At 42.8% G+C, this 24,196-nt stretch overlaps 1 protein-coding gene and 1 long non-coding RNA gene across 8 annotated transcripts in view, besides 2 other annotated features; one reads left to right on the top strand and one right to left on the bottom strand.

The window, feature by feature from the left end:
* Positions 12–23,670, top strand: ZNF337 (zinc finger protein 337). Of its 6 annotated transcripts, none has more exons than NM_015655.4 (5): positions 12–106; positions 10,399–10,474; positions 10,743–10,869; positions 11,203–11,298; positions 19,828–23,670. In NM_015655.4, exons 2-5 carry the CDS (start codon positions 10,448–10,450, stop codon positions 21,831–21,833), a joined length of 2,256 nt encoding a protein of 751 aa, NP_056470.1. In that variant the 5' UTR covers positions 12–106; positions 10,399–10,447; the 3' UTR covers positions 21,834–23,670. The 6 variants fall into 6 exon arrangements, with proteins under 6 accessions (NP_056470.1, XP_011527521.1, XP_006723621.1 ...); XM_011529219.3 differs by having other exon boundaries at positions 12–406; XM_006723558.5 differs by having other exon boundaries at positions 12–5,365.
* Positions 499–608: an enhancer, noted in NCBI's record as "active region_17674". NCBI's record gives its function as "activates an Ori minimal core promoter by ATAC-STARR-seq in GM12878 lymphoblastoid cells {active_cell/tissue: GM12878}" and the evidence as "EXISTENCE:reporter gene assay evidence [ECO:0000049][PMID:35858748]".
* Positions 11,061–11,120: an enhancer, noted in NCBI's record as "active region_17673". NCBI's record gives its function as "activates an Ori minimal core promoter by ATAC-STARR-seq in GM12878 lymphoblastoid cells {active_cell/tissue: GM12878}" and the evidence as "EXISTENCE:reporter gene assay evidence [ECO:0000049][PMID:35858748]".
* The window catches only part of ZNF337-AS1 (ZNF337 antisense RNA 1), a 54,030-nt gene continuing 48,624 nt past the window's right edge, over positions 18,791–24,196 (bottom strand). The window contains exons 3-4 of one of the 2 annotated variants that reach the window (NR_126465.1): positions 22,858–23,013; positions 18,791–19,929 (exon numbers count right to left, since the gene is read on the bottom strand). This is a non-coding gene — a long non-coding RNA (ZNF337 antisense RNA 1). Of the gene's footprint in view, positions 19,930–21,786; positions 21,969–22,857; positions 23,014–24,196 lie in introns of those variants that run through there. The other variant, NR_126466.1, reaches the window with a different exon arrangement.

The raw sequence follows: 24,196 nt of genomic DNA, 5'->3' as shown, positions 1-24,196 counted from the left end.
TCCCGGGCGGCGCAGAGCGTTCCAGATCCCTGGGCGTCAGCGAGCCGTGAGATGCGTGGTCCACCATCGGTGACCTCACCGCCTCGGTTCGCCCTCAGCCGCCCCGGTGAGCTGCGCTCCTGCGGGTCCCTCTCTGCAGCGCGCCCTTCCGGCGCAGGAAGAAGGGCCGGGAAGGCCTGGGACGTGAGGGCGCTGCTGGGGCCGTAGCGCGCGCTCCTCCAGGCCCGGCGTCTCCGCGTTCTGGGGAGGGGCGGAGACCCAGGCCGCGCCTTGAAGTGGGCGGTGGGGCTGCGGCTTGCCGAGCGCCCCGGGTCTGGGCCGCCACTCAGTCTCCGTTCCCGGTTGCGTGTAGTGGCGGCTCGGGCGGTGAACAGCCCGGATTTCACAGGGGCGCCGAGCAACCCAGGTCCTCTTGTGCCAGGGTCGCCGCTCCTCGGGTGGGGACGGGCCAGCGGCCTAGCGAGCTGCCACGGGGGTCTTTTGGCCGGAGGTGGAGGGGGACTCGGCCACAGCCAGGGTCCACTGGTGGGGTGGGGGTTACAGCCATGAGACGGATGGGCTAGGTCCGACTCGGGTTCCCTCCGACTCTGATGCTCCAGACTTTATTGTGGGAGGCGGGACAGGGGAGGACTTCGCCCGCGTGTTTTGGGGAAGGGCCGCTGCTTTGGGTTGGGAGCACCCCGCCTTGGGACGATCTTCCGCGGATAGGAGTGTAGGCCGGGACCAAATGTCCTCGCACGGGCACGTCTAGACGTGTTTTGGTGGGGGGGGGGGGGGATCTGCGTGGGGCAGCGTCCGCGGGAGGTGAGGTGGCTGTGGGGACCCAGGTGGCCTCTTCCCTGGGGCCTTGCTAATGACGGCAAAATCCGGGTTCTGCCAAAATATATTTAAAAAGGTTTATTCCTAGTCAGTATGAGTGACTGTGGCCCAGGTTATTCAGCCTCAAGAGGTCCTGTGAAAGTGCCCGAGATGGTCAGGCTTGCAGGTTAATTTTATACAATTCAGGGAGACAGGAATTTCAGGTAAAGTCATAAATCAGGCTGAGCAGTGTGGCTCATGCCTGTAGTCCCAGCACTTTGGGAGGCCAGGAGTTCCAGAGCAGCCTGGGCAGCACAGCAAGACCCTGTCTCTACATGAAATTAGAAAAATAAAAAAATTAGCGGGGCGTGGTGTCCCATGCCTGTGGCCTCAGCTACTTGGGAGGCCCAGTCAGTTGAGTCCAGGAGGTGGAGGCTGTAACCAGCTATGTTGGCTGCACTGCACGCTAGCCTGGGTAACACAGCGAGATCCTGCCTCCAAAAAGAAAATCATAAATCAATAAGAGAAAGATATACACGGGTTCCTCCCAAAAAGCTGGTATATCTCCAAAGGGTTTACACCTCATGGGGGCACTTAGGGATTCTTTAGTGGACAGTTGGTTGAGAGACTTAAGCTACTGCCTGAAGACTGGAATCAGAAGCATGCCAGAGTTAAGGGGATTGCGTAGATCAAAGTTCTTATTATGTAGATGAAGCCTCTTAGTTGGCAACTCTCAGAATAGATGGTAAATGTCTGTTTTCAGTTTTTTGGGTTTTTGTGTTTTTGTTTTTGTTTTTAGAGAGAGTCTTGCTCTGTCGCCCAGGCTAGAGTGCAGTGGCGTGATCTCAGCTCACTGCAACCTCCACCTCCCAGGTTTGAGCAGTTCTCCTGCCTCAGCCTCCTGAGTAGCTGGGACTACAGGCGCCCGCCACCACGCCTGGCTAATTTTTGTATTTTTAGTAGAGATGGGGTTTCACCATGTTGCTGAGGCTGGTCTTGACTTCCTGACCTCAGGTGATCCACCCACCTCTACCTCCCAAAGTGCTGGGATTACAGGCGTGAGCCACCGCGCGTCAGGCTGGCTGTCTCTTCCAGACCTAAGAAAGGCTTAGAACAAAGGAGGTCTGGCTACATTAATGGAGATTCGCTGCAGATGCAAATTTTCCCACTAAAGATAGCTTTGCGGGGCTATCCATTTCAATCTGTTGCCCCTGTGGCAGCCACTTCAAAACATGTCAAAGAAGTATATTTTGGGGTAAAATAATTTCCTTCAGCATCTGCTGTCATGTGATGCTGTACCAGAGTCAGGTTGGAAAGTGAGCCTCATTATATAAGAGTAATAAAACTCATCTGATGAGATTTTATGGTTTCTCGGGCAGGATTCCCCAAGCCTCATACATAGGCATTTGGGCAAGGGAAAAAAGGTGAATTTAGTCCTCACCAGGTTGGTAGGGCTTCCTCGGTTATTGGAGTGGGAGTAACAGCAACCATTGGGCCCAGCAGTTTTTTTAAATGTCTCTGGGGCTGTGGACTGACCATCCAAATAACTGATTTTAATCATTTCATTATGGAAAAATTGTCAGCAGAACCCCCAAGTAGAGAGACCCATCAGTCAAGATATACCTCATGACCTTGCAAGCTAATCTAGCTTGACCCAGATCCCCTCCTAATCTGTGCAGATTCATTGAGGAATGTCATAGCCATGCCTACTGGTTAAGACATAGTCCTTTACAGTGAGAGTTGAAACCCAAGCTCTATCACTTTCTTGGCTGTGTTGCTTTGAGAAAGGCATTTAAATGTTTTGTGCCTGTTTCCTCATCTGAAATTGGTGGGTAATAGTCACTTCATAGGACAGTTGTGAAGATTGAATGCAGAAAAATTTGTGCCACGCCTGGAACCGTCCCTGGCATATATTAAATTCTAAAAAAGTGTTAAATATTATAATGAATATCAACACTTCCTTATTCTGGAAGCACCGACAGGATATGCTGTGTTTAGTGTTAGCATCATGTCAGGACAGGGTCTGTTGCGATGCCCACACTCAGGATCTGTTCCCAGGAACCTGCGTAAAGTTTTCTTCTCTGGAAGACTTTGGGTCCTTTTTTTTTAACAAGAAGAGGCTCTACCCTGGGACTGGGAATTTCCAAGGCCACCTTTGAGGATCGCAGAGCTCATTTTAGAGCCATTTTAGTCCCCAGCTCCTCTTCCTCCACTCCCACGTTACCCGTGAGAGGACTGTCTGCAGGGTAAGGGAGGACAGCCCAACCCCAGGTGGGGACTTCTTATGTATTGCCTTCCTGCAGTGCCTTCTCTGCCCTAAACCATGGTGGGTTTCCTTTGCTAATGTCTGACATCTTGTGCCCTACACTGTCCCATCTGAGGCTCAGAACCTCTCAGCCGGTTCTCATGGGGAACGTTCCCCAGATCTGATGCCCTCATTCAGGACACTTCCATCATTGTCCCTACATTTCTTCTCTCAGTGCTTTATTCAGGCTGCTGCATTCGTGGTGCAGACCAGGTCTTGTAAAAAATTATTCAGTCAGCATGTGCTGAGCCATTGTCCTGTCCCAGGGACAGGGCTTTATAGTCATTGCCCTATTCATCTCTTCAACCAATGTGGAAGTTAGGAATTGGAATCCCCATTTCACAGACTAAGAAGTGGCGTGTTAATCAGTTGAAATAATTTTTACGGCTTGGCGTGGTGGCCCATACCTGTAATCCCAGCACTTTGGGAGGCCAAGGCGGGCAGATTACCTGAGGCCAGGAGTTCGAGACCAGCCTGGCCAACATGGTGAAACCTCATCTCTACTAAAAATACAGAAATTAGCCAGGCATGGTGGCTCACGCCTGTAATCCCAACTACTCTGGAGCCTGAAGCAAGATAATCGCTTGAATCCAGGAGATGGAGGTTGCAGTGAGCAGAGAACATGCCACTGCACTACAGCCTGGGGGACAGTGAGACTCTGTCTCAAAAAATAATAATTTTTACTTTATGTAACATATCTGGGATCAAGTGGACTGGGTTGTGGAGCAAGCTGGGATTTTGGGGGTTTCTGTTAAGAATTAGCTTCATTGAGGTATAATTGAGACAATAAAATTATCTCCCATTTTAAGTTCTAGTTGATGAGTTTTGAGAAATGTATATAGTGAAGTCTTGATCATCAAATCAACATATGAACATTTTTCATCTCCCAAAAATGTAGGAGCTGTTTTTTTATCTTAGGAGAATTTTAATGAAATATACGTGGAGGAGCTAAATGTTTCAAGTTTGCCTCATATTCATATCTAATTTATTGGTAACTAATTTAAACCACTTTCTTACGGCTCTCAGTTTCTGTTCCTACAGGATATTAACTCCCACAGATGGCAACAGATGGCAGGAGTGAGACCAAACAGTTTGCAGTGTTCTCCATTCACACCCTGGAAATGAAAGTTTTCTCTATTTTTCCTCTCCAAATTATCTTGGAAGGGATATTCAATTTTTTTCAAATTTACTATGAAAAATATTGAAGTAGGAACTAAAGTAGAGAGAATATATAACAGATCTCTCTGTTCCCTTGTTGCACCTTAACACTTTGCTCTTCTTATTTCATCCAACCCCCTCCCCACCCCATGCTTTCTGTTTTCAGGCTAGAGCATCTTGAAGCCAATCCAAGACACCATTTTATCTGTAAATTTACTGCAGCTACTTCTCTGAGGACTATTTTTGTTGTTACTGTCTTGCCTTTTAACGTAACTAGAGTACCAGAATCATACTCAACAAAATTAGCAATGTATTAATTTCACTCATTACCCAGTTTATGCAGAAATTTTCCAGGTCTCAAAAATTTCTCCTTACAATTCAGATTTCACACTCAGGTTCATTAAGATGGGAAGCATGAGAGAAGAAATATCTAGAAACCAGCTCAGTAGTGCCCCTTGTCTGTTTTACTTCTCTCGTTGTGATCTAGGTAAAGGAAGTTTCCCTACCTTGGCAAACTTCCCATTTGCTTGCTTAGGTGCTGAGGCTTGTTCATTCTTTCCTTGCCATAGCTTTTTCCTTCCCTTCCTTCCTTCTGCCTGCCAGGCTCATCTCCTAATTCTACTTCTACCCATAAGGACAAATAATGATCACACCACTTACCTAATTGCCTGGCCCTAGTTCTGGTCCCAACTATAATCAGAAATGTGGATTCTGGAATGGCAGTGAGGAGCGACGTGGACTGTATCTCCAGTAAAACACCATAACTGGTAATTTAGAAAACCAAAAACAACCATTTAAACTACACGGAATTTGTCTTAAGACCACTCAGGAATTTAGAGAAACATTTATTCAGAAAAATCAACTGAGCCTTTCTGAGAACAGTGAGAGTCTGTAACATTTGACACACAAACTGCTACCCTCCCCACCCCCATTTTGGTCCACTCTGAGAGAAACTCCACTGTGGGCTGTGAAAATCACAAGATGGAACCCTGTCCCTCTCCAGTTCTCAGTCTATGGTGACAGCTTTTCCCTGAGAGAGGCACGATGCCACTATTCTTAACTTCTCTCCCCCTGCCAGTCCTGTGTTCCTGAAGCTGGTTTCATGTAAGTATAGTTGAGAAGTGTGTTTGGGTGTGGACCTCCTTGAATTTATTCTTGGAGTTTGTTGAGTGTGCTGGCCTTGTAGATTCATGTCTGTCTTCAAATTTTGAAGTTTTGGCCATTATTTCTTCAGTAATCTATCAGCATCTTCTAGACACCCATATATATGTCCAGTTAATGGCACCTTATAACTCTTTTGGCTCTGTTTATTTCATTCTTTTCTCTTCTGCTTCTCTGTCTCTGAAATTTCAAATTCTTCTCTTTATGTTTACTGATTATTTCTTCTGCCTGCTCATCTGCCGTTAAATCCCTCTACTGAATTTTTCAATTACTGTGTTTTCGGGTCCAGAATTTTTGTTTGCTTCCTTTTTGTAATCTCTGTTGGTATTTTGTTCATATATATTTTCCTGATTTCCTTTTCTCTACCCGTGTTTCATGAGTTTTTGAGAATATTTTAGACAGTCTAAAATCTGTCTAGTTTGCCTGAAGCTTATGTTTCTCCGGGGAAGGTTTCCGTCACTTTATTTTCTTCCACTTATTGGGCCATGTTTTCTGAGTTTTTGTTGTTGTTGTTAGAAATTAGGCATTGTGGAAAAAACAACCTCCTTTTCCGGTTTTTGCAGACTGACTCTTTTCCAGGGAGGATTTTTGCTATTATCTTGGTATTCGTTCTAAGCTTTGGGATCAATCTGAGGAGAAGGTTTAAGATTTTCTCAGGCCTTTTTGGAGCATGGATCTTACCTTTGCTTGTGGCTTTTTCCATTTTCTCATAGGCAACTGCTTTTAAATATTTATTTGTCCCAAGAGTCTCTCCTCTGGGCCTTTGATGGTCTGTTGTATGTCTCCACCCATAATATCTTGCCCCAGGCATCTGCTCTTCAATCTGTCTGCATCTTTGCCAAGCATGATCCAGTGCTTTTCTTCCCTAAGGTGTGAGATCCTCAAAACAGAGCAGTCCCTCAGGCAGCCTCCAACAGCTTAGAACCTTGTAAGAAAGGTCTACTGTGCTTTCTCAGGTTTGAGGGAAGGAAGTGGAAACTGAGATGCTGCTTTAGAAGCTCTGTTGTATTCTGCACCTGTAATTTTTTGCCCCAGGGATCTATAGGCAAGTTCACCATGAGATTTTTCCATTAGACAACACTTGGACAGGATAGAACATTGGGAATAAGGTGTATTGGGCTGCAAATATGACTGTCTCCTGTTTTGTTTTTGTTGTTGTTGTTGTTTTGTTTTCTTGAGACTATGTCTTGCTCTGTTGCCCAAGCTGGAGTGGAGTGGCATATTCAAGGCTCATTGCTGCCTCAACCTCTTGGGCTCAAGCCAGGAGTAGCTAGGACTACAGGCACGTGCCACCACATCCAGCTAATGTTTATATTTTTTGTAGAGATGAGCCTTTGCCATGTTGCCCAAACTGGTCCCGAACTCCTGGGATCAAGCGATCCACATGCATCAGCCTCCCAAAGTGCTGGGATTACAGGAATAAGCCACTGTGCCCAGCCAGCTGCCTTCTGTTTTTAATGTGGCTTTTTCTTGATTGGGCAGTTTCTTGAATGCTGGGGACTTTTGAGTATTTTCAAATGAAGTTAGCTCCTATAAGATTATTTTAGCCAATTTTTTGGTAAGCATAGAATTAGCAATATGATTAATGCTTTTTCTGTAAACTAGTGTTATGAAAAATCTCAAATGGGTAGCAAAATTGGGAGATGGTAATAGGAATCCCCATGTTGCCTTCATCCAGATTTGATCATTTTAAAACCATGGGTAGTTCTGTTAGATTTATCCCTTCCCCCTGTTTATGTGCCAAAGTATTTCAAACAAATCCAGATGTCTTGTTATTTTACCCATATATACTTGATCTCTGAGAGGATTTTTAATCAGTGTTGAGGTGTAACTTGCATACCGTAAGAAGCACTGCTTTTAACTGTATAATGAGTTTTGACTCTTTAAAGTATACACAGGTCACTTATCACCTCAATCAAGATACAGAACATTTCAACAAGAGTTCTCATGTGCCCTTACATGTAATCATTCCAGAGGAAAATAGTCAAGAATTCTCACCAAAATATGGACAAGTAGTATCCAGCAATACATGAAAAGGATGATATATTCTAGCCAAATAGAGTTTGTTCCCAAAAAACCGAGGATAGAGTGAACATAGAGTAAGCAACCTGTGGAGATATTTAACTTTTTTTTTTTCTTGATGCGGAGTCTTGCTCTGTTGCCCAGGCTGGAGTGCAGTGGCACGGTCTCCGCTCACTGCAAGCTCTGCCTCCCACGTTCACACCATTCTCCTGCCTCAGACTCCTGAGTAGCTGGGACTACAGGCGCTCGCCACCACACCCGACTAATTTTTTTTTTTTTTTTTTTTGTGACGGAGTCTCACTCTTGCTCAGGCTGGAGCGCAGTGGCGCGATCTCGGCTCACTGCAAGCTCTGCCTCCCGGGTTCACGCCATTCTCCTGCCTCAGCCTCCCGAGTAGCTGGGACTACAGGCGCCGCCACCACTCCCGGCTATTTTTTGTATTTTTTTGTATTTTCAGTAGAGACGGGTTTCACGGTGTTAGCCAGGACGGTCTCAATCTCCTGACCACGAGGAGGAGGCCCGCCTCAGCCTCCCAAAGTGCTAGGATTACAGGCGTGAGCCACCGCGCCCGGCAGAGATACTTACCCTTACTTAACCTATCTGTAGTTCTCCGCTTAGGAACAAAAGGAAAGGTAGCTTCTTGGATGAATCAGCTTTCAGCTTAATATTTTTCTTTTGGCAGAGTGGTTTGGGTTCCAACGTTTTTATTTTCCTTTCACTGCTTTCAGGGAGCAAAAGAGAAAAACCTACATTACTATCTTAATGCAGAAAAATACTTGATAACATTTCACACCTATTCAGGGTAAAAATTCTCAGTAAATGAGGAATAGAAAGAATTTCCCTTAATGAAACAAAGGTTATGTGTGACAGCCTGGCTGCAATCATCATATTTAATGGTGAAGTGTGTTCACACTAAGATCAGGAACAAGCATTAATGTTGATTCTTATCACTCTTATTTAGCATTATCCTAGAATAACTAGCTAACCTGTTAAGGTATTAAAAAGGAATAAAAGGCATAAACGTTGAAACAGAAAAAAAAATTTTTTATTCACAGAAGATGTGAGTATGTACATGGAAGAATAGTTAAACAACTAGATACTAGTAACACACAGTTTAGGAACTTCAGAAAATAAGGTCAGTATTTTTAAAAAGCACTTGTATTTCTGTAACCTAGCAGCAAACAGTTAAAAAATGAAATACATATTTATACTACCATCAAAAACAACATATTTAAACTTCTAAGAGTAAATGTAGGGGAATATCTTTGTGACTTTGGAATAGGTAAAGATAGCACAGATGGGACATGAAAGGTAAACTATTTATGTAAGTATATAGAAAGAAATAACAAAAATGTTTTAAATCACCTTTCAACTGCCGTCAGAGGAAGAAATTTCACTGTTTTTCTTCTCCAACTACATGTAAACCAAAAAGTATCAGAGTCAAGTACCAATTTAGATGTTTATTTTGCCACAGTTGAGGACATGCCACAGAAAGAGGCCAGTGGCTTTCCCCAAAGATGAGTTTGAGAGCCTCATTGTTTAAAAAGGAAAAGTAGGCTGGAGGGGAAAGAGGAAAGGTGTGGTAATCCACCTGTGACAAGAGAAAAGGAGCAGGTAGGAAAATAGTTATGCATTCATCTCACACTCAGTAAATCAGCACTTTACATAAGATACGGTGTGCATAGAGTAGCTACTATGGAGATATTTAACGTTTTATCTGTAGCTATCTCCTTAAGAACAAAAGGAAAGGCAGCTTCTTGCATGACTTAGCTTTCAGCTTAATGTTTTTCCTTTTGGCAGAGTGGACTGGGGTCCCTAGTTTTATTTTCTTTTCATAACACCATAGTATTTGTTCACTTCTGTCTCAAAGTTACTGGCTAGTGGATGTATGCTGTGTTCATCATAATCACCACATGATAGCATCTTTGTTCCTTCACATTTCCTTCTTTTCACCCCTATATGTCTGTGTTTTTAATTTTATTTTTTTAGTCAAAACATTCACTTAAAAGTATAGTGAATACTCTAATGAAATCATTACACCCACCACTTTAATTTACAGTTCTTTTCCTGTATTTCTACTGGAATTTTTTTCAAAAAATTCGGAGAAAATAATATAATGAACCCAGTACACATTATTCAGTTCTAAAAATTATGAAGTGTGGCCAGTAATGCTCAATTGACTTTTGAGGGTGAGAAGGGGTGTTTAAGCACATCCAGACATCATTTTCACTCATGAATGTTCCAAAAGTTTGTATACAAGGAAGGGCTCATGTTTTTAAAACCCAAAATACTTTTATAACAACAAAATTAATGTTTGATAATCTAATATCCAATTAGTGTTCAGATTTCACTGGCTGTTAATACTCCTCACATATTCTTTGTTGCAATCAGGATCCAAATTGCATTGGATCACTCATTGCCTTAGATTAACCATGTGTCTGAGGACTTTTATTCCTGACAGCTCACACTCCCCATGCTATTAATTTGTTAAAGGCTTTGGTGTTGTACAGTACTGAATAACTGCCAATGCCATCTGCCTGTGGCCTTCTCAAGTTTGTCTGCACCTGTGGTTATCCTGACTTCAAACCCGGGGAGACAGAGGCTAGAAGAGGCAGACAGCTCTTGTGTATTCTGTCCAGTGCAAAGAACACCTGGAACTCTGAGCCCTAACCTTAAATGCAAGACCTCATCTGCAGGTGTTCCTCATCCTTTTAGCCCCTCAGTGATGTAAGCAACAAACGTCACCCAGCTCCTGGGGCACACTTCACTCCCAGATGAGCTTGTCCTGGATTTGCAGGGAGCCTGGCTCCCTAGACCTTTTGGCCAGATCCCCACAGGGGAATTGTGCAGGTGCGCCCTCCCCAGATCCCCAGTTGGTATTGGAATCACACCAACTGTCACACATGGGGAGGGCAGCTGCACCCAGCCACCCTCTGACTTCTCTCCTCCCACAGATTGGCCATCTGCAAGCTTCCCTTCTCCGTGGAGAGCAGGAAGACAGTCATGGGACCTCAGGGAGCCAGGAGACAGGTGAGACTTCCCAGAACTGTCGTTCTTGCTGTCACAGGATGGGCCCATTTCCTTCACTGGCCCTAGCAGTTACATTATTAGCACAGGACCAAGGCCAGCACCGCTCCTGGGGAGTGATCTGTCTTTCCTGGCGTCCTCCAGCAGGTGACTGGCCTGTGGGTGTCACTCATCAAGTAGTGATCTGTGTACAGATGGCAGAACCTGGAATCCTCCAACTGCGTGAGTGCAACACTGTCCCTGGTGAGCATGCCTGGGTTTTGTGTTACAGGCTTTCTTGGCATTTGGGGATGTCACTGTGGATTTCACCCAGAAGGAATGGAGGCTGCTGAGCCCTGCTCAGAGGGCCCTGTACAGGGAGGTGACACTGGAGAACTACAGCCACCTGGTCTCACTAGGTAAGCGTGGCTTCCCTCGAGCCTAACATTTGGCCTGTGGTGCCTCTGATGTTGCCATAGGGTTAGGTTCAGAGACAAGAATGTTGTTTTCTCTATTCCCCTGAGGAAGGTCTGGCTTTGGTAAAGTTTCATACTGACTGCCACTGGGCACCTGCAGGCCTTTCCCCACACTGGGGCTCCCCCTGGGGGTTTGTACTCTGAGCATGGTAGACAGGGTCCTCCTGAGCCTTCCCCCTCTGATTCTCCCTCCCTTCCTGCCCTGGGTGGCTCCAGCAAATGGCCCGTGGAGCCTACAACCAGGAGTCACCTCATGGTTTTTTTCCCTGTGAGCAGGAATTCTCCATTCTAAACCAGAACTCATCAGGCGGCTAGAGCAAGGGGAAGTGCCCTGGGGAGAAGAGAGAAGACGCCGGCCAGGCCCCTGTGCAGGTGAGGGGATAGACAGGGCAGACAGAGCACAAGGCACTCCGCCTTTCAGGAGGGAGGAGGCTTCTCTGAGGCCAGGGGACCTGGAAGCTGTTCTGGCCTCCTTGGCTGCTCTTCAGACCACCTGGCCCTGCCTTCCTTCCAGTCCTTGCTGAGTGAGAGGTTCTCCTGAGGTCCCTGGACTCCTTCTCCCAGGAAGCCTCCTTTCCCCCTACTTGCTAGACTTCTTTCTCCCACTCAATCTCCTCATTTGTGACTTTCCTCGTGACTGCCCGACTGCAAGCCTAAGTCTATTGCCCCTTCCTGATACTGTCCAGGTATTCCTATTTTAGCTTCTTTTTGTTTTGTTTTGTTTTGTTTTTTAATTATTTTTCTGTGTAAGTAAATATAAATTTTTTGATACAATTTGCATCTCATTCTTCTATATACTGATTTTCTTTTTTTTTTTTAATTTAAGTTCTGGGGTATATGTGCACAACATGCAGGTTTGTTACATAGGTATACATGTGCCATGTTGGTTTGCTACATCCATCAACTCGTCATTTACATTAGGTGTTTCTCCTAATGCTATCCTCTCCCCTGCCCCCTACCCCCCAACATGCCCCAGTGTGTGATGTTCCCCTCCCTGTGTCCATGTGTTTTCATGGTTCAACTCCCACTTATGAGTGAGAACATATAGTGTTTGATTTTTCTCTTCTTGTGTTACTCTGCTGAGAATGATGGTTTCCAGTTTCATCCATGATCCTGCAAAGGACATGAACTCATCCTTTTTTATGGCCACATAGTATTCTATGGTATATATGTGCCACATTTTCTTTATCCAGTCTATCATTGATGGGCATTTGGGTTGGTTCCAAGACTTTGCTATTGTGAAAAGTGCTGCAGTAAACATACCTCTGCATGTGTCTTTATAGTAGAATGATTTATAATCCTTCGGGTATATACCCAGTAATGGCATTGCCGGGTCAAATGGTATTTCTAGTTCTAGATCCTTGAGGAATCGCCACACTGTCTTCCACAATGGTTGAACTAATTTACACTCCCACCAACAGAGGAAAAGCATTCCTATTTCTCCACATCCTCTCAAGCATCTGTTGTTTCCTGACTTTTTAATGATCGCCATTCTAACTGGCGTGAGATGGTATCTCATTGTGGTTTTGATTTGCATTTCTCTTTTTTTAATTTTTTTTAATATTTTTTATTTATTTGTATTATTATTATACTTTAAGTTTTAGGGTACATGTGCACAATGTGCAGGTTAGTTACATATGTATACATGTGCCATGCTGGTGTGCTGCACCCATTAACTCGTCATTTAGCATTAGGTATATCTCCTAGTGCTATCCCTCCCCCCTCCCCCCACCCCACAACAGTCCCCAGAGTGTGATGTTCCCCTTCCTGTGTCCATGTGTTCTCATTGTTCAATTCCCATCTATGAGTGAGAACATGCGGTGTTTGGTTATTTGTCCTTGAGATAGTTTGCTGAGAATGATGGTTTCCAACTTCATCCATGTCCCTGTAAAGGACATGAACCCATCATTTTTTACGGCTGCATAGTATTCCATGGTGTATATGTGCCACATTTTCTTAATCCAGTCTATCATTGTTGGACATTTGGGTTGGTTCCAAGTCTTTGCTATTGTGTATAGTGCTGCAATAAACATACGTGTGCATGTGTCTTTATAGCAGCATGATTTATATTCCTTTGGGTATATACCTGGTAATGGGATGGCTGAGTCAAATGGTATTTCTAGTTCTAGATCCCTGAGGAATCGCCACACTGACTTCCACAATGGTTGAACTAGTTTACAGTCCCACCAACAGTGTAAAAGTGTTCCTATTTCTCCACATCCTCTCCAGCACCTGTTGTTTCCTTTTTAATGATTGCCATTCTAACTGGTATGAGATGGTATCTCATTGTGGTTTTGATTTGCATTTCTCTGATGGCCAGTGATGATGAGCATTTTTTCTAAGTTTGTTGGCTGCATAAATGTCTTCTTTTGAGGAGTGTCTGTTCATATCCTTTGCCCATTTTTTGATGGGGTTTTTTTTTTTCTTGTAAATTTGTTTAAGTTCTATTTTAGCTTCTTAAAACCTCTGTCCGTTATTCTCCTTCTTCAATTCCCATAGCTTTTTTTCCTTGTCGTTTAATGTTTTAAGCAGTACTACTGTTGCCAGAGGTCACTTCACCTTCCTCCTTCCCCCATTTCCCCCAGATGTACTGCCTGAGTGGGGCTGTGGTCTAGAATTGTGCACCCTCTTAAGTCCCTGTAGTCACCGCAGTGGTTCATCAGGACTCATGATGATGATGATGATGATGATGATGATGATGATGATGATTCTTACCTCTAGGGTGGACTTGTTCTCTCTTGGAGCAGTTTTAGTTCACAGTTAGGCCCTGTGTTCCTCTCTTCTCTTTTCATGCTGTTTTACTGGCTTTCCTCACTCCTCACAGTGGGACCACAGGAGACTGCTGAAAAGTGGTGTTAAGTTTTCTGCTTATGACAATGATAAATTTAGTTTTCTCTATCTTGTTATGTGTCAGTTTCAGGGGTCATCTGTTTCTATTGACCTTTATATCCTATTTGGAGAATGTGTGGACAGATTTAGCCTTACACAGCTGCAGTTCTCCTCGAGTACTTGGAAGTCTCTTTTATGTCTTGTTTAAGAAACCCTTCCTAGATCAAGTTTATAAAGATACAAAGATTTAAAGATATAAAGTTTTTTTTTTTTTGAGTCGGAGTTTCACTCTTGTAGCCCAGGCTGGAGTGCAATGGCGCGATCTTGGCTCCTTGGAACCTCCACCTCCCAGGTTCAAGCAATTCTCCTGTCTTAGCCTCTTGAGTAGCTGGGACTACATGTCCTCACCACCATGCCTGGCTAATTTTTTTTGTATTTTTAGTAGAGAGAGGTTTCACCATGTTGGCCAGGCTGGTTTTGAACTCCTGACCTCAGGTGATCCTCCTGCCTCAGCCTCCCAAAGTGCTGGGATTACAGACATAAGCCACCATGCTTGGCCAATATATAAAGATTTTTGTTGTTGTTATTTAACTCTTCTGTGGCTTTATAGTTTTTTTTGGGAGGGCAGTTTGAACTATCCAATACTTGAAAAGATGATTTTTACATCTTCTATATTCATAGTGGATTGTTCCATATCTACTAAGTTTTGTAGGACTTTATATATTTTAGCCTACTATTAAATACATGCAGGGTTAGAATTATTATAATTTTATTGGCTCACAGGGAATCTTGTGTCCTCTGTACTTTCACCCTCATCTCCCATTCCTGGATTATTTTGAAGCAAATCCTGGTCATCATATTTCATCTGTAAAACCTAATAATAGTTACTGTATTATAATCTATTTCGTTTAATATTAATATTAGTTCCTAAGATTTTTTTTGGTGACTGTAACCCTCATTTAACTTTCCTTATTTCATGGCATATATATTTTGAGTTTACATCCTATAATACTTCCTTTCCTCCAGCATTTTTTTGTGAAGCAAATGTTGAACAATTATATTTTGGTGGATACTAAAAAGTTGAAAGGCTTATAGAATGAACACCTGTCGATCTGCCACCTACAGTCAGCATTTAGCTTTGTGCTCCGTATTCTTTATCGCTTACTTACCCAGCTGTGCATTGCTCTCTCCATCCATAAGTCCATCTTCCTTTTGATGCTCTTTAATATTGTGGACATCATTATCCTTTACGCATAAACACTTCAGCATGCATATCAATAAGTAGTATTATAATGTTTCTTTGTGGTTCTTTTTAGGATTTATATAAGATGCATAAATCTTAAGTGTAACATTCAGTGAGCTTTGACATATGCATAACTTTGTGTAATCTGGACCCCTATGACAACACAAAAGAATTACTCTCACCCCAGAAGTGCTTTTGTGCCTTTTTCCAGTCATTTCCTGCCCCCACGTCCACCAGAGAAAATCACTATTCGGATTTTGTTCAATATGCCTTAATTTCACCCATCTTAGAACTTCATGTAAGTGGAATTACACAGTATACTCTCTATCAGAAAATTAGCAGGTTGATTTTTTTTTATGGTTATTGTTGTTGACTTTGTCCTATTGTCTGCAAAAAAAGCAGGTTCATACAGACTGTGGAGTTCTTTCCCATTCCTTGCTTCCCACCACCCCATAAAAAATGTGGGGGCATCCACTGAGAAATTTGGAGCTGGCCTGAGTTTTCACGTGCATAAGGTCTCTGCTTTTGGATCGGGGCCACTCCCTCAGTTTACATAGGTGGGAAGGGACTCCTCTGTCATCTTGAGTATCGTAGAAATGACGAAATATCATAGACTGGGAGGCTTAAACAACAGACATTTATTTCGTACAGTTCTAGAATCTGGGAATTCCAAGATGAAGGTGCTGGCACCTTTGCTTCATTGTGAGGGTCCCCATCCTGGCTCACAGGCTGCCGCCTCCTTACTGTGTCCTCTCATGGGCTCACCCCACGATCTCAACTAAACCTGTTTATCTCCCAACAACTCCACCTCCAAATACCATCACATTGGGGGTTAAGGCATCAACATATGAATTTGGGGGGGATGCTAATGTTCAGCCCATTATCAACTCCCTTCTCTCGCCCCCATATCAATTGCTTGCTGATTTGTCTGTCAGTGAATTAAAATAAAAGGCTTCTTGTCTACCACTGACTTCTGAAAGTGTGAATGTTTAATGTAATGGGAGCATATGTTAGGATTTTATTTAACTCATAAGTGAGGTTACTGGCAGGATGACAAAGCTGGTTCAGTGCAGGTATGAGAAGGTGGGATGTATGTGGATAGTGCCAAAATAACACCATTGTAAGTTACCCTGTAACTTTACAGAATCAGCAAACTTAACTGTCATTATCCGAGTGATCAGAAAAATTAAAAATTATACAGATGATGTAGGAAAGGTCATATAATCATATATCTGACAAGTTTTGGAGTATTTTTCCTGAATAATAAGCACATTGACTGTCATAGTACCAGCAGTACTTTCTATCAGTTTGCTATTTCTCTTTTCACTTTAGTTTTTCCTTTCTTAATATGAATATTCATTTTAATGTATTAAAAAAGATAATTCTTTATTATTCTCCATTTATATATAAATATCTCCCCTTTGTAGATGCCTACTATTTTGTATTAGTTTTGGGGGGATTATTTTCTTATTTGTTGATACATAATAATTGTACATTATTTATGGAGTAGATGTGGTATTTTGATATATGCATACCATATGTAATGATCAAATCAGGATCCATAACCTCAAATATTTATCATTTCTCTGTATACTCCATTTTTTTCTATTTTGAAATATAAATTACAGTTAAACTATAGTCACGCTACTGTGCTATCAAACACTTATTTCTTCTAACTATATTTTTGTACCCATAATCAACTGCTCTTCGTTCTCCCTTCCCTCTCCCTTTCCTAGCCTCTGCTCCCACATATGAGTGACAATATGCAATATTTGGCTTTCTGTGCCTGGCTTATTTCACCTAACATAATGAACTAATGATACTGATTATATCATTAGTTAATGATAATGATTCTAATGATACTGCTGTAAATGACAGCAGTATTCTTATTCTTCTTTATGGTTGACTAACATTCCATTATATATATGTACTACATTTTCTTTATCCATTCAACCATTGATGGACATTTAGGTTAATTCCATATCTAGACTATTGTGAATAATGTTAACATGGGGGTACAGGTATCCTTTTGCCATACTGATTTCCTTTTCTTTGGATAAATATGAAGTAGTGGGATTGCTGGATTGTATCGTAGTTCTATTTGTAGTTTTTTAAGGAACCTCCATACCATTTTCCATAATGGCTGTACTAATTATACACCAAGAGTGTATAATTATTGCCTTTTTTCTGCATCTTTGCCATTATTTGTTATTTTTTCTCTTTTTGATAATAGCCATCCTAATTGTGGTAAGAGGATCTCTCAGTGTGATTTGCATTTCCCTGATGATTGGTGATGATGAGCATTTTTTCGTATACCTGTTGCCCATTTGTATGTCTTATTTTGAGAAATGTCTATTCAGATCCTTTTCCCACTTTTTAGTTGGATTTTTTGTTGTTGTTTTTTGACTTCTTGTATATTCTGTATATTAGTCCCTTGTAAGATGAATACTTTGCAGATATTTCCTCCCATTCTACATTTTGTATCTTCACTGTTGATACTTTCCTTTGCTGTACAGAAGCTTTTTAGTTTTTAGTTTAATGTAGTCTCATGTGTGTATTTTTGCTTTTGTTGCTTGTGATTTTGAAGTCTTAGCCATAAAATATGGCTAGTTTAGGCCAGTGTCCTAAAGCATTTCTCCTGTGTTTCTTCAAGTTGTTTTATAATTGTGGAACTCATGTTTAAGTCTTTAATCTATTTTGAGTTTATTTTTGTATAGTATGAGAAACAAACATCTAACTTCATTCTTACTCATTTTGGAATTCACTTTTTCTAATACCATTTATTGAAGATTCTGTCCTTACCCTAAGGTATGTTTTTAGTGCCTTTGTCAAAAATCAGTTGGCTATAAATATATGGATTTATTTGTAGATTATCTATTCTCTTTTATTGGTCTATGTGTATTTCATTTTTGTTTTTGTTTCTATGGACAGGGTCTTGCTCTGTCCACCCAGGCAGGAGTGCAGTGGTGCCATCACAGCTCACTGCAGCCTCTAACTCCTGGGCTTAAGTGATCCTCGTGTCTCAAGTAGCTAGGACTATAGGCATGTGCCACCATGCCCAGCTAATTTTTTTTTTAACCTTTTGTAATGATGGGGTCTCATCGTGTTGCCCAGGCTGGACTCGAACTCCTAGCCTCAAGCAATCCGCCTGCCACAGTCTCTCAGAGCACTGGGATTACAGGTGTGAGCCACTGTGCCTGGCCAGTGTCTATTTTTAGACCAATACCATGCTGCTTTGATGACACTAGCTTTGTATTATATTTTGAAGTGAGGTAGTATGATGCCTCCCACTTTGTACTTTATGCTCACTATTGCCTATTGGAGGTCTTTTTGGTTCCTTATGAATTCTAGGAGTATTTTGTCTATTTTTATAAAGAATATCACTGGTATTTTAATAGGTATTGCAGTGAATCTGTAGATTGCTTTGGGCAGTATGGTCATCTCAACAGTATTATTTTGCTCCATGAACATAAGATGTCTTTTCATTTGTTTGTGTCCTCGTCTATTTATTTCATTGTTTTTATCATAGAGAACATTTAATTTGGGGTTGTTTATTCATATACTTTTTTGTACCAATTATAAATGGGATTGCTTTCTTGATTTCTTTTTCACCTAGTTATTATTGGCATATAGAAACACTACTGATTTTTTTTTCTGATTTCATATTGTGCAACTTTATTGACATCATTCATCAGTTCGAAGAGTGTTTAGGTTTTCTATAGGTACGATCATGTCATCTGCAAAAAGAGACAATTTGACTTCAGTTTTCCAGCTTGGATGCCTTTTATTTCCTTTTCTTGCCTTATTTTTTTCTCTTACCATAGTTCTGACTAGGACTCCCTGAACTATGGTAATAAGAGTGGTGAAAGTAGACATTCGAATCTTCTTCCAGTTCTTAGAGGAAAGACTTTTATCTTTTCCCCATTCACTAAGATGTTTGCTGTGGGTTTGGAACATATTGTCTATATTATGTTGAGATATGTTTCCTGTACACCTGATTTAAGTTTTTATCATAGGCTGGGTGCGGTGGCTTATGCCTTTAATCTCATCACTTTGGGAGGGCAAGATGGGCAGATTGCTTGAGCTCAAGAATTTGAGACCAGCCTGGACAACATGGCGAAATCCCATCTCTACAAAAAATATAAAAATTAGCCAGGCAATGGCACCTATGGCTTGACTACAGGCAGGCACCTGTAGTCTAGCTATTTGGAAAGTTGAGGTGGGAGGATCGTGTAAGCCTGGGAGGTCGAGGCTGCAGTGAGCCATGATCATGCCACTGCACTCCAGCCTGGGTGACAGAGTGAGACCCTGTCTCAAAAAAAAAAAGTTTTTATCATAATGGGATTTTGAATCATATCAAATCTTTTTCTGTATCTGTTGAGATGATCATATGTCTTTTGGTCCTTCACTCTGTTGATGTGATGTATCACAAGTATTGATTTGTGTATGTTGAATCATGATTGCATACTTGGGATAAATCTCATTTGATCATGGTGTATTATCTTTTCTGTGTTGTTGCATTGGTTTTGCTAGTATTTTGTTGAGGATTTTTCCATTTAGCATCATCAGGGATATTGGCCTGTAGTTCTCTGTTTTTGCTGTGTCCTTGTCTGGTTTTGGTATCAGGATAATGCTGGCCTTTTAGAATGAGTTAGGAAGAATTCCTCCCTGCCCTGCTTCAATTTTTTGGAATAGTTTGAGAAGAATTGGTGTTTGTTGTTCTTTATGAGTTTATTAGAATTAAGCAGTAAAGCAATATGGTTCTGGGTTTTTCTTTCATAGAAGACTTTTCGTTACTGATTCAGTCTCATTGTTGGTCTATTCTCCAGGAATATATGCAGAACATGTCCTGCGGCCCAAGAATCTTGGACTTGCACATCAGAGGCAACAGCAACTACAATTTTCTGATCAAAGCTTCCAGAGTGACACAGCTGAAGGTCAAGAGAAAGAAAAAAGCACTAAGCCCATGGCATTTTCCAGCCCACCCCTAAGACATGCAGTAAGCTCAAGGAGGAGGAACAGTGTAGTGGAAATAGAGTCTAGTCAAGGCCAGAGGGAAAATCCTACAGAAATAGACAAAGTATTGAAAGGAATAGAAAATTCAAGATGGGGAGCATTCAAGTGTGCAGAGCGTGGGCAAGACTTCAGCCGGAAGATGATGGTAATCATACACAAAAAAGCACATTCCAGGCAGAAACTTTTTACATGCAGGGAGTGTCACCAGGGCTTTAGAGATGAGTCAGCATTGCTCTTGCACCAGAACACACACACAGGAGAGAAGTCCTATGTGTGCAGTGTGTGTGGGCGAGGCTTCAGCCTCAAGGCCAACCTCCTCAGACACCAGAGGACACACTCAGGAGAGAAGCCTTTTCTGTGCAAGGTGTGTGGACGAGGCTATACCAGTAAGTCATACCTCACTGTGCATGAGAGAACACACACAGGAGAGAAGCCTTATGAATGCCAGGAGTGTGGGCGAAGGTTTAACGATAAGTCCTCATACAACAAGCACTTGAAGGCGCATTCAGGGGAGAAGCCTTTTGTGTGCAAGGAGTGTGGGCGAGGCTATACTAATAAGTCATACTTCGTTGTGCACAAGAGAATACACTCAGGAGAGAAGCCTTACAGATGCCAGGAGTGTGGCCGAGGCTTTAGCAATAAGTCACACCTTATCACACACCAGAGGACACACTCAGGGGAGAAGCCCTTTGCGTGCAGGCAGTGTAAGCAAAGTTTTAGCGTGAAAGGAAGTCTCCTCAGACACCAGAGAACACACTCAGGGGAGAAGCCTTTTGTGTGCAAGGATTGTGAGCGAAGCTTTAGCCAAAAGTCAACTCTTGTCTACCACCAGAGAACACACTCAGGGGAGAAACCTTTTGTTTGTAGAGAATGTGGGCAAGGATTTATTCAGAAGTCAACCCTTGTGAAACATCAGATCACACACTCAGAGGAGAAGCCTTTTGTGTGCAAGGACTGTGGACGAGGCTTTATCCAAAAGTCAACCTTCACTTTACACCAGAGGACACACTCAGAGGAGAAGCCTTATGGATGTCGGGAGTGTGGGCGAAGGTTTCGGGATAAGTCCTCCTATAACAAGCACCTGAGGGCACACTTGGGTGAGAAACGTTTTTTCTGCAGGGATTGTGGGCGAGGCTTTACCTTGAAGCCAAATCTCACCATACATCAGAGGACACACTCAGGAGAGAAGCCCTTCATGTGCAAGCAGTGTGAGAAAAGTTTTAGTTTGAAGGCAAATCTTCTTAGACATCAGTGGACACACTCGGGGGAAAGGCCATTTAATTGCAAGGATTGCGGGCGAGGCTTCATCCTAAAATCAACTCTCCTCTTCCACCAGAAGACACACTCAGGGGAGAAGCCTTTCATCTGTAGTGAATGTGGGCAAGGATTTATCTGGAAGTCAAATCTTGTGAAACACCAGCTTGCACATTCTGGCAAGCAGCCTTTTGTATGCAAGGAGTGTGGGCGAGGCTTCAACTGGAAGGGAAATCTCCTCACACACCAGAGGACACACTCAGGGGAGAAGCCCTTCGTGTGTAATGTGTGTGGGCAAGGCTTCAGCTGGAAGAGAAGTCTCACCAGACACCACTGGCGGATACACTCAAAGGAGAAGCCTTTTGTTTGCCAGGAGTGTAAGCGAGGCTATACCAGTAAGTCAGACCTCACTGTGCATGAAAGAATACACACAGGAGAGAGGCCTTATGAATGCCAAGAGTGTGGACGAAAGTTTAGCAATAAGTCATACTACAGTAAGCACTTAAAGAGACACTTACGTGAGAAGCGTTTTTGTACAGGGAGTGTGGGTGAGGCTTCATCTTGAAGTTATATCTCACCATCCATCAGAGGACACACTCAGGAGAGTAACTTTGCTTTGTTACAAGCTTTAGTTGAGGCTGCATAACTTGTTCGTGAAGATATAACAGAGGCAGACAGAATCCAGAGGGCTACAGAGAACCTGAATTCAACCCATGTGTCCCCAAGAGATTCAGAGAAAAGAGGTCAATGTTTAGGGAACAGAGATGCCAGTTGAGGGGAGGGCATTACCTGGGCTATTGGGGAAATGTGGTCTCTTTCCTACTGAGCACATATTCTTGTTGTATTTGTGCCAGGCTGTGCTTTCTAAGGACTGCTCTTAGCCAGTGACTGCAGAGCAGGGATACCAAGGCAGGCCTGTTACACTCTCCCCAACCTCCTTGGACTGCAAACAATCTAGGACACCTCCACCAAACCTCCTCTTGCACTTTCCCTCTGGCTTCCCTCCCAGCCTTCCTTGGTTTGGATGTTTTGTCCCCTCCTTAATTTATGTTGAAACTCTACATAAACTGTTTACTGTTGAAACAGTGTAAGTATTAGGAGGTGGGACCTTTGGGAAGTGATTAAGTCAAGTCACGAAGATAGAGCTTTGCGAATGGGATCAGGTGCCCTTATGAAAAGGCTTGATAGAGGGAGTTTGTCCTGTGGCCCTTCTATTTTCTGCTCTGTGAGGACACAATGCTCCTCCCTTCCAAAAGATGCAGCATGAAGGCATCATCTTGGAAACAGACATGAGCCCTCAACAGACAACTGCACCTACTGATGTTTTGATGTTGAACTTCCCAGCCTCCAGAACTCTGGGAAAATAAAGTCCTCTTTATACATTTCCTAGTCAGTGGTATTTTATTATAACAGCTCAAATAGACTAAGTAACTGCTCCCCTCATCATTCTCTCACAGTCATATCTGGAAATAAAATCTCTGTATATGCAGTCCCATATTGGTCTTTGCAGAGAACTCCCTCCAACACAGCTGATACCAAGAACAGTCTGACAAAACAAGTGGTAAAATAGGGATCTGGGGACCACTCACCTGCCTGGCAGGAGTAAAGCATGTTGGCTGGTGGGGCACAGGTAGGTGGTTAGCTGCAAAATATTTCACAGGTGATTTCCTGAGAAAATGCCTCAATGATAGAGAATGCTGTGGCAGATGTGATGATGCAGGCCTTTGAAAATGTAGGGAAAGTGCCTACAAAGAGCAGAGTAGACTGATTATCGCCGATCTGCATTACCACCTGCAGAAGGACCTTGAGAAATTGAAGACTTCATTCAGCCATTAGCAAACAGTTAATGGTTAAGTAAACCAGGACTCCCTGGTGAGTGCTTACAAGGCCTTTATCTTCTTGGATAGAAGGCAGAATTATTGCCCAAATATGTGGGCTGAAGGCCTGTAGCAGAGCTCTACAGATGTTGGAATGCTCAGCCAATGCATGTCTATTTTGTAGAGGTCAGACCCTTCGTAAGGAAAATCTGGGATCCTGAAAAATGACACCGGAACATCTCCATGGATGCCCAAGATTGCCTCTGCCATGCTCCCAGCCACAGACCATCTGGGTGTGTAGAGATGGCCCATCCTTCCTTAGGAATAGCATTTCCACCATTCATTACCACAGAACCTTCACAATTAAGGCCAGCTTAATGAGCATGTGCCCTACATAGCTGCACACAACCCTTGTCCAGCACAGGGAAGATACATGCAATATGCCTATCCTTTTGTAAATGGTATTTGTGATGCTTGCCCTTCAACTTCCATAACTTTCCTCATACTCATTTTGAGTTTCACTGCACATTGTGGGTTCACCAGAATTCTGTGCTCCTCTTCCATATTAAACACATTTACATCTGAGTGATCTGGGACACTGACAGCCCCAAGAGACACCACTGTCCATTTGGACCCAGAATTTGATTTGAACTCAGAAGACAATGTCTTAGCATAAACAGCCAAGGAACCCGGTCAACGCATTTCCTGCTCAAGTTCCTCTTATTAGCCAACCACTTGTGTTGAAAATGATCACACACAAGGGATTGGAAACATAAGGCAACTCATAGCTACTTTCTCTGTTTCTTACTCAACTTGAAGTTAGAGTGCACTGGTAGAATGTGCATATGGAGAAGTGAAGTAAAACAGTTGAATTAGACATTAGACACAGTGGTTCACGTCTATAATCCCAACACTTTCTGATGCCAAGTTGGGTGGATTGCTTGAGTGTAGGAATTCAAGACCAGCCTGGCCAAAGTGGCAAAATCCCATCTCTAAAAAAACTAGCCAGGTGTGGTGGCACATGCCTATAGTCCAAGCTACTTGGGAGGCTGAGGTGGAAGGATCACCTGAGCCTGAGAAGTTGAGGCTGCAGTGAGCTGTGATTGCGCCA

Source organism: Homo sapiens, chromosome 20, assembly GCF_000001405.40.
Source record: "Homo sapiens chromosome 20, GRCh38.p14 Primary Assembly".
Classification (NCBI taxonomy): domain Eukaryota; kingdom Metazoa; phylum Chordata; class Mammalia; order Primates; family Hominidae; genus Homo; species Homo sapiens.
This window is presented reverse-complemented; position numbering and strand designations above follow the sequence as displayed.